We start from the raw sequence: 10981 nt of genomic DNA on the forward strand, positions 1-10981 counted from the left end.
AACAAATCATCCCAAAACATGATGAAAGTTAATCCTAGGCATTGTAATGTTCTTTTTCAGTCAATAGCTACCTTACTCATTTTTTTTGTTTGTTTAATTTAAGGTACACAGAAATTCTACAAGATGAGCCTTTTCACTCTTATAAAGTAAAATAACTGAGGTAGAGACATTAAGATACCAGCTAACACCCAACAGCTTGCAACTAGGGGAACTGGGTTTCAAAATAAGATAACTCTATCGCCAAACATTGTACTTCATTTTCTAATCATTTCTAAGTAAAGGATTCATAAGGACATTGTTAAGAAAAATAACCCTGCCTTTTAGAAAAAGTTTATATACAATAACACATGGACAAGTTATTACCATGAAATGAAGAACACACTTTGAAAATGGGGTAATGGTGGGTAATTGTTAGATATTTTTTTCTATGTTGTTATGGATTATGCAAAAATAAGATAATGAGAATACATTAATACTTTAAAGATCATAATTCATTAAAATACTAAAAGATATTCACTATATGTTCTTCAGTTATCAAATATTAAATTTAATATACCCCATCATTTCAGATCAAGGATGATGACAAATCATTGCATAGTTGAACATAGATGCCGATGATTGTGGAACAATAGAGAACATAAGCCAGGTATCATGCAAGAAGCATAAAGAGTAGAAGGAAATCCTAGACCTAGTTCATTAATTTGGAAAATTAAAAAGGCATATGATAAAAAGAAATATATTACATCACCTGTATATTACCAGAGCTATGATTATCCAAAAGAAAAGGAAAAAACATCTACATTTATGAAAGCAGAAGCAGTACAAATAAATAAACATATATTTATTTATTTCTATTCTATAAACTGGATAATGTACGTAACTCTACCATGTATATTAGGGTAATTAAGCTCATGAAATCATTTAAATGAAAGTGGATTTTCAAATATTAGACTAGAAAATAATTAAAAATGTGTACTTAGCCCTATAAGTTTTGAGTTCTAGTTGATGAGACAGAAATACTTTTAAAATTTATGAAGTATCCACATTAATATGAAGTAACATTTATTTTACCTTATTGGAATTCTAAACTTTCAGAGTCTTAAGCATGATTTTTCTTTTCTAATGCAATGAGCTCTTTTAATTACAATCATTGTTAAATAAGAATACTAATATATATGGCATTTCCCAAGGTTACTCTGCTTATAACTTTAAAATTTAGCTGTTGCCAAAAAAAAAAATTTCAGCTCAATTTAAATTTCTTTTGTGACAGCTTTTATCTGCTCACCACTGCTTTCTTATGGCAATCATAAATTCTCAATGCGAAGCAAAGCACTGTTCTGCTTTCCTCAAACAAAAGGGAAACTCATCATGTGTTTTATTTTAAGAAGAGCAACATACTTCTCAGGCATTTATTATCTGTATGTCCTCAGGTTTTGTGACAAAAAAGCTATACACACAAACACATCCATGTATGTATAGAAATGTAATTGGAAACATATCAATTTTTTCTAGCCAGTAGATACACCTTCGGACGTCTTGAACTTAAAATGAAAAATTAAAGAAAAACTACATTGCAAACTCTCCATTGTCTCTGGGGTTCTTAGCTCATTTTCTCTGATAAAACCATGGGCATGGACAATTAAGAAATTAAGATGTGACCAATGATACAATAACATCCTGAAAATTGTACAGTAAGCCATCTGACCCTTAGAAACTTGTGTGCAAGTGTGTTTATCTTTGTAGATAGATCTTAATTAAATTACCTGGATCAAAGCTTAACGTATACTAAATTGCCACTCATGAATTATTGTCACACATTCTTGAGACACGGCTTTACAAATTTATATCCTTAAAAACCTAGATTGGAGTGCCTTCTTCACACATCCATGTCTAATATGGATCATGTTGAGTATCTTTGGATATATTAATTTTGCAATTTAATTTCAGAAAAAAGTAGTATAACACTATTGTTTTGATTTATATTTTTCTAATTGCAAAAGTTTTCTAATTTTCATGTATGTATTGGTAATTTGCATTCTATTCCTATAGAATTGTATATATTTTATTTTGTAATTTAGTATTGCTTCTTAAAAATAAATATTGACATTGTATATCATTTCGTTACATATATTGTATGTTTTCCTAATCCATCATGCATCACATACTTTGTTTTCCATATAAATTGTCATATATGTTTATTAACTAACTCATAAATACTCATATCTGTCACCATTTTTTAATGCTTTCTTGTGTTTTGTCATGTTTAGGAACACTTTCCCCACAATTCACAATACTATCTGACAGGTGTTAGTATACCTGTCAGTGTTCTTGGTTGTAGATGACTGAAATCCATTCCAATTGACCTAAACCAGGTAATAGATTATATTGGATAAATCATATAATTATTGGAAGGCTAAAGAAACAGGCTCAGAACAGGGCAGCCCCATGGAAACCAGGTTCCAGAATGGCAGTAAAATCCCCCCACAGGAACAGTCTGATGAGATAGCGCTGCTGCCACCGTGGCACTTCCTCCCCTAGGGCCTGGGATATTTGATGGTTAATTTCTGTACCTCTGTGATGAATACATACTTGTTTGTTTCTTACTGTTTTTACTTCTTGCTTCTGTTTCAAATTTCTCCCCGAAGCCATCTGTTTTAGTTTCCTCAGGCTGCCATAACAGATTAGCATAAAACAAATGGCTAAAAGAACAGAAATGTATTCTCCCCCAGTTCTAGAAGCCAGTTCAAACTCGGGTGTCGGCAGGATTGCATTTAATCCAGGATTCTAGGAGACAATTCTTTCTTATCTCTTCCAGTTCCTGGTAGCTCCAGATGTTTCTTGGAGCTACACTTGGCTATTTAAAGTTAATTTTAATGTTTAATTAACTAAACATTAAAATAATTAAAAAGTCAGTCCCTCCATTGTGTTAGCTGTATTTGAAATACTCAAAGGCACATGTGGCTACAGGCTACTATATTGGACTATGCAAGGGTAGAACACGTGTTATCACACAATGGTCTCTTGCACAGTATTGCTCTAGAATATTCCCTGGACAGAAAAGTTTTACCTGTGGGGCATTAAACAACAAAGAGCCTTACAATTGCCTCTGACTTGTATAGTAAAGCCAACAGTTGTTTGTTGTCATCGTCAGAAAAGTTGATTCCATATTTGAATATGGTTTCACTGCTTGTCATGCTTGGCCAATGCCACAAACCATGGATTAACTGATGGCCTTCTCCACTCTCATGGCTATTCACCCCCAACAATAGAACTTATTTCTTTCATGTTGCCTCATATGGCAGAATCCCCTTCTATTTTAAGGCTGAATAATATTTCATGGTCATATACATATATACACACACACAGTCATGCATTGCTTAACAGGGAAATGTACCTTAAGGCAATTTTATCATTGTTTGAACATCATGGAGTGTCCTTATCCAAACCTAGATGGTATTGAGTGGATGCTGTTATATATACAGCCATGCACTCTGTAGTTTGGGTACACAGTGCATGGCTGTATATATAACACTATCCATTCATCTTTCAGCAGGACTTTTTTTTGGTCACAACCCTGCTAACCAAAACAGGATCTGGCCAGAGAGCATGAAGTGAAGAAACTGATAGGAAGTGGCAGATGTCAACAAAAGCAATCTCTAACTACTCATTGCAATTTAATTGTCATGGTGCTGGTGGTAGTGTCTTATGCTAATGAGCAATATGAGCAGCCTGGCAACACAACCCAGAAGTTACCACCTCTTTCCATGGCAACAACCTAAAAGTTACTGCCCCTGCCTTAGAAAGTTCTAAACAACCTGCCCCTCAATTTGCATTGGCTCACCCCTCAATTTGCATGCATTTGACCTGCCTTAGAAAGTTCTAAACAACCTGCCCCTCAATTTGCATTGGCTCACCCCTCAATTTGCATGCAATTGAATGTGGGTCTCGCTGAGTATAAATACCGTTGCCAAGAGACCATATGTTGCTGACTCTGATTGCACTGCCTATGATTTAGCCCTGCTCTGCAAGGAGCAGTACCATTCAATAAACGATTGCTAAGACTCCTAGCTCATCCTTGAATTTTTTCCGGGGTTAAGCAAGAAATCCTCCCTGGCTAAGCCCCAGTTTGGGGCCTTGCCTGTCCCACAGCAGTGTAACGTACTACACACTTAGACAATATGACATAGACTGTATCTCCTAGGCTACAACTCTGTATAGCTTATTATTATACTGAATGCTATAGGCAATTGTAACACAATAGCATCCGTACATCTAAACATACCAAAACAAAGAAAAATTACACTAAAAACACAGTATCGTAATCTTATTGGACCACATTTATATATGTGGTTTTTTGTTGACTGATGCAATACACAGTGCATGGCTGTATATGTAACACTATCAGTCACCATTCAATGAGCAATTAGGTCGTTTCTATACTTTATTGCTACTAACACTACAATGAAATACATATGGATAAACCTAGAGGGCATTAAGCTAAGTAACTCTTACTTCTAAGATTTCTACCTTAAAGAGTCATATTTATGGCCTTTACTTGAGGTAAACTTCAGAAGCCATTTGTTGTGGATTAGGTAACGTGTGGAGAAATTGCTTTGTTGGGTTTTTCTTCCTTTGCATTTTAGTTTACACATATTAATTGTATGTATTTATAATCTGCAGAGTGATATTTTGATAAATGTATATGAAGTGTAATGATCAAATCAGAGTAATTAGGATAAACATCACCTCAAACATTTATCATTTCTTCATGTTTGGAATATTCCAAATCTCTTCTAGTTTTTTTAATATACACTATAAATTATTATTAACTATGCTTACCCTATAGTGCTATAGAACACTAGAACTTATTCCTCCTGTCTAGCTGTGACTTTGTATCCATTAATCAACCTTTCTCTGTCTTTAATAACATTATCAAACTGTGATTACCATAATTCTACTCTATACTTCTATAAGCTCATTTTTTAACTCCCACATATGAGAGAACATGCAGTGTTTATCTTTCTGTGCCTGACTTATCTCACCTAACATAATACCTTCCAGGTTTATCTGTGAATGGCAGAATGACAGAATTTTATTTTTCATGACTGGATATTATTGTATTGTATATATATGCCACAATTTCCTCAACTGTTCATCTTTTAAAGAACATTTAGCTTGATTCCTTATCTTGGCTATCACGAATAGTGCTGCAATAAATATGGAGATACAGATACGTCTTCTATAATTGATTTATTTTCTTTGGGTAAATACCTAGTAATGGGATTGCTATATCATATGGTGGTTTTATTTTTAGTTTTTTGAGGAACTTCCATACTATTTTCCATAATTACTGAACTAATTTGCATTTCCATTAACAGTGTACAAAACACAAGACTTGCTTTTTCTCCACATCCTTGCCAGCATGTTACTTTTTTTTTTGAGGCAGAGTATCAGGTCTCGCTCTGTTGCCCAGGCTGGAGTTCAATGGCGTGACCTTGGCTCACTGCAACCTCTGCCTCTTGGGATCAGGCAATTCTTCTGCCTCAGCCTCCCAAGTAGCTGGACTACAGGTACGTGCAACCACATCCGGCTAATTTTTTGTATTTTCAGTAGAGACGGAGTTTCACCATGTTAACCAGGCTGGTCTCGAACTCCTGACCTCAGGTGATCCGCCAGCCTCAGTCTACCAAAGTGCTGGGATTACAGGCTTGAGGCACTGCGCCTGGCTGCTTTTTTTCTTTTTATTATAGCCATTCTATTATATACACTTCCCTGATCATTAGTGATGTTGAGCAGTTTTTCATGTATCTGTTGGCCATCTTTATATCTTATTTTAAGAAATGTCTGTTCAGATTTTTTTTGCCCATTTTATAAATTATATACATATATATTTATATCTAGAGATATCTAATAGATTTGTAATTGAGTATCTTGTATATTTTGGATATGCAAATTCCTTGCCAAATAAACAGTATGCAATTTTTTTTTCTTTCTATAGGTTGTCTCTTCACTTTGTTGATTGTTTTCTTTTTCTATGCAGAAACTTTGTGTTTTTTTAAATACGATAACCAGCTAGATGCCTCATAGTGTTCTTCTTTAAGGCTCTGGCCCTCATTTTATAGATTCTTTCACATTATCTCTTTTTGGAAAATTAACTTTACTATTTTTTTGGAATGGAATGTTCCTTAGCTCAGTTTAATTATGCTGTGAATCTGACCTCCTTTGCTTTACATATTCCACAGATTCCTCACAGTCTGGGCCTGTCAATGACTCTGTTGACAGTTTTTCAATATCTACATGCATGATTTTGTTGTTGCTTTACAATTCTTCTGTTAATTCTGTTAATTAAGACATTCTTTTTTTTCTTCAAAGAATAGAGAAAATGTGTCATTTGGCTCCTGCCATTAAAGTAGAATTCCAAAAACAAGATAAAACAAAAAAGGTAGTTCTATTGGATATTTTTCTCTAGTGAATTCCATAAGTTAATACTAGAGTAAAAAATATAGAGTTTTTGTTTCAGTAACAGTGTCTTTCTATTTAACATCAACAAATCTATTTTAGGAAATAAATGTGATGTGATTGATTTTTTAAAATTTTCTGGAATCTCAGCACATTGTGAAGATTTAAAAGCTAATCTATGTTACTAAAGAAAAAAGCAGCTCAAGTCTCAAACACCATCAAATCAGTAATATGCATCAGCACAAAAGTAAATTTGGATGAGTTTTTAATCTTTTATTATTCTATCATGAAAGGAAATGACTGAAAATAATTTCAAATAAAAATAATTTAAATATAAGCTATTAAATGTATTAATAATCCCAGAGGTGGAAAATAGTTGCCATCTTCCATAGTAAGAGCTGTGTTTCACATTGCAAATATTTCACCTCAATTCACTCAAATTGTGTCTGCTTTAAAGTACCCACATTTTAGAGTGGAGAAGGAGAAATACTGGACAAACTGTAATGGGTTTGTTCTAAAGATACTTAATTTATCTAATAAGAGAAGAGGCTGCAATGCTAATATACCCTCAATATATCCTCATTGGTTAATAGATGCTTGCAATTTACATACAGGCAAAAACAATGAAAATGAAATTCCTATGAAATATACACTAAATACATTTTAGTAAGGTAAATTTGTAAGAAAACACGCAAACAAACTATAATACATAGTAATGTAATATATAATTTGTTTTCTTACAAGCTATTCTATCTATCATCTGTAGCTATCTATCTGTATCTATCTATCTATATCTATCTGTATGTGTGTGTGTGTGTGTGTGTGTGTGTGTGCATTTTTGCAAGCTAGAGGGGGAGGTCACCAGAAGAAAAATAAATGAAACCATATGATTTAAAAGACTTAATATGACTTAATTATTAACTGTAAATGTGTTGGGCATTTTAATATTAAATCAAATGATGAATATCTGTTTTTTAAATATATCACAATGGAACAAGAAGATAGTATGTGCTTTCATTATAAAATTGTAACAATATTTTCCTTGATGGTACTTTGTAATATCCTGACTTTATGTGTATTAAATACTTAAAGATGAAAAGGAATTTATATACTGTGACCAAAATCACTTACGGACACAATATGCCCATTCGCTACTTAATTTAGCTATGAACAAATAAAAAATGTGAAGCAAATATTTTGTTAGAGCATTTGTTAGATGATATGTAGTGTAGTGCTATATAAAATAATAAATTTGACTTAATTTGAAGTGTTGTTTGAAGGATACCTTTAAAAAAATTGAAAAACTACTTGCTTCAAGTGATGGAATATTAAGTGAGATAAGTACTGATCTGTTTCCAAAGTGCAGATTTAATTGATATATGTTGTGGGCCTTAGACCACATACATTTAGTATCTGATTCATAACCAAGCAGACTTCACTTATAAGCATCATTGGAAAAGTACATGAAAATATCTGTCTGAAGAAAAATTGGTGAACTACATTATACTGATATGTTTATTCATTTTTCTATGAAAGAAACAAGAAAGCAGGTGGAAATAAACTCAATTTACAATTAAGGTTGAGTATAGTGAAATACATTTTGCAAAGAAAGTTGCACATTAAATTTAACTTTTTGAAAAGGAGTATAGAAGAAACATTTTGGTTTTCTCAGTAGAAACAGTTTTTCTCCACTTTGAGTTAAATAAAAGTATCTACTGTTTCCCACCAGGCGCCCATCTATGTTCAGATATCCTAACAGGGACTAATGAAGTAATATCACTTCTTAAAACAGAAGCTTTGTGTGAAATGCATGGAGACAAACTGATAGTGATATGGATATCCTCCAGTAAAAGATAAAAGCAAGATTTCATTCTAATAAAAAATGTTTAGAAAATATAGGACTAGATAAGTTGCAAACAAATGGAAAGTCAAACAATGCCCCTAAAACCTAAACTACTACAAAATTATTTACTGTGCCATGCACACCTACAGGAAAAGTCCCAGATATTTACCACAAAAAATAGATTTAAGGCTATTTATGATAGCAGTTAATAGATACTATAAAAACAAGTTGTATAAATTATGAAATTTAACATAGTATTACCTTTATCATCATTTGGTTATGCTTATATGAACTACCCATAAAGTCATAAGATAATTGGAAGTTTTCTATAAATACTATTTATATTATGCATTTAGTTTCCAGTAATTGAATGCTTTCAAGGGGATGTATAATTGGCATATTAAAGAAAATAAATATTATCTCCTGTAAACAAATCAAACTGCCAGATGTTGTTTCTTATGTCTTTTATGTAAAATTAATGAATTATTTTCCTTCCTTACATAAGCAACAGCCTCTTTAAAATACATAGTACTATTGTGTTACCAGAAAAGGATGTGTTCCCTTGCTCATTCATTCTTTGTTCATTCATCGTAAACAATTGATTATCCACTATGAATCAGTTCCTGTGTCTATTACTGGGGTGAAAATAGTTGAAATAGCACAATCACAACCATCAAAACAAAGTCACAATTTTAAGCTAAATGTAGCTTCTGATACACATATGACATTAAAGTGTTGAAATTATCTTCTGAAATTATTTTATCATCTAAAAATCATACACACACACACACACACACACACATTTGCTTGTGAATGAATTACATGGAGTATTAATTTGTATGAGTTTGAAATTCAAAGTAAGGGAAATCTGAAAAAGGAACTGCTTTCTATACACACAAACACACATGAGAATTATAACTAAATAAAGAATAAAATAAAACCATACCTATTGTCAAAGGGTTGCAATCAGTTTGGGGAAATATGATGAAGCAATGAACTGAAGGCCTCCTATTGAGGGCTGCAGAATGGAAAGCTGATTCTGGGACACTTTCTTACAGATATAACCAGAGTACGGGAAACCCTCACAATCAACAGGTAGGTTAAAGAATGAAAGACTAACATAAAAAGAAAACTAAAGAGGGAAAGAACAGAGAAAATTGAAACAGACAAATGATCATGCCACTGCACTCCAGCCTGGGCTACAGTGAGACCCTGTCTCAACAACCACAACAACAAAACGGAGAAAGAAATGGATGATAATTTTTAGAACTGAAGAAAGACACAATTCCAAAGATCCAGAAGGCACAAGTTGTTCAAATTAAGATAGATAAGATGTGCAACTAGACATTTTATTTATATGGCAAACACTGAAGGCAAAGGCTTAAAAGCCTAAAAACCACCAGAGGGAAAATATAGAACAATTATAAAGCCAAGACAATCAGAAAAATAGATTTCTCAACAGGAAACATTAAAAGTAATGTTTTCAAAGTGCTGAGATAAATTAAATGTCTTCTCTGAATTTGGTGCACTGAAAAACTGTTGTCCAGGTTAAAGGACAAATATGCATAGAAACAAAGAGTGAGTTTAATCCTAATAGAGTCATGCTAAAATAATAAGGAATATCATGCAGAAAATATGAGAAAAATTGAGAATTATGGACATCAAGCAGGAAAATAATTCCAAAGTAATTAAAACTGTAATTTTAAAGATACCCGTGATATGATTTGTTTAAAATTAAATAAAAAGGACTGGGCACAGTGGCTCATGCTTGTAATCCCAGCACTTTGGAAGGCTGAGACAGGGGAATCACTTGAAGCTAGAAATTCAAGATCAGCCTGGGCAAGATAGCAAGACCTCATTTCAAAAAAAGAAAAGAAAAGAAAAAGAGAGAAGGAAGGAAGGAAGGAGGGAAAGAAGGAGGGAAGGGAAGAAGGGACAAAGAGAGAAAGAGAGAAAGAAAGAGAGAGAAAGAAAGAAAAGCAAGCAAGCAAGCAAGCAAGCAAGCAAGCAAGCAAGCAAGCAAGCAAGCAAGCAATCATGGTTGTGCGTGCCTGTAGTCCCTGCTTCTCTGGAAGCTGAGGCAGGAGGATCACTTGAACCCAGGAGTTTGAAGCTGCAATAAGCTATATCACATCACTGCACTCAGCCTGGGCAAGAGAAAAAGACCATATTTCAAAATAAAAATACGACTAGCAAATGATTAGCAGTTTGCATTGGAATCACCTTATAGTTTATGAAAACTTGCGTATAAGAATGCTTGTGATTTTTGCACATTGATTTTGTATCCTGAGACTTTGCTGAAGTTGCTTATCAGCTGAAGGAGATTTGGGGCTGAGATGATGGGGTTTTCTAAATATACAATCATGTCATCTGCAAACAGGGACAATTTGACTTCCTCTTTGTCTAATTGAATACCCTTTATTTCTTTCTCCTGCCTGATTGCCCTGGCCAGAACTTCCAACACTATGTTGAATAGGAGTGGTGAGAGAGGGCATCCCTGTCTTGTGCCGGTATTCAAAGGGAATGCTTCTAGTTTTTGCCCATTCAGTACGATATTGGCTGTGGGTTTTCATAAATAGGTCTTATTATTTTGAGATACATTCCATCAATACCTAATTTATTGAGAGTTTTTAGCATGCAAGGCTGTTGAATTTTGTCAAAGGCCTTTTCTGCACCTAT

The 10981-nt window shown here is 33.5% G+C and overlaps 1 non-coding gene across 1 annotated transcript; it reads left to right on the forward strand.

The window, feature by feature from the left end:
- The first annotated feature begins 3448 nt into the window (after positions 1-3448).
- Positions 3449-3551, forward strand: MIR5011 (microRNA 5011). The gene has a single exon (NR_049809.1). It is a non-coding gene; the product is annotated as a microRNA 5011 (primary transcript).
- The last annotated feature ends 7430 nt before the right edge of the window (positions 3552-10981 follow it).

Source organism: Homo sapiens, chromosome 18 (assembly GCF_000001405.40).
Source record: "Homo sapiens chromosome 18, GRCh38.p14 Primary Assembly".
Taxonomy (NCBI): domain Eukaryota; kingdom Metazoa; phylum Chordata; class Mammalia; order Primates; family Hominidae; genus Homo; species Homo sapiens.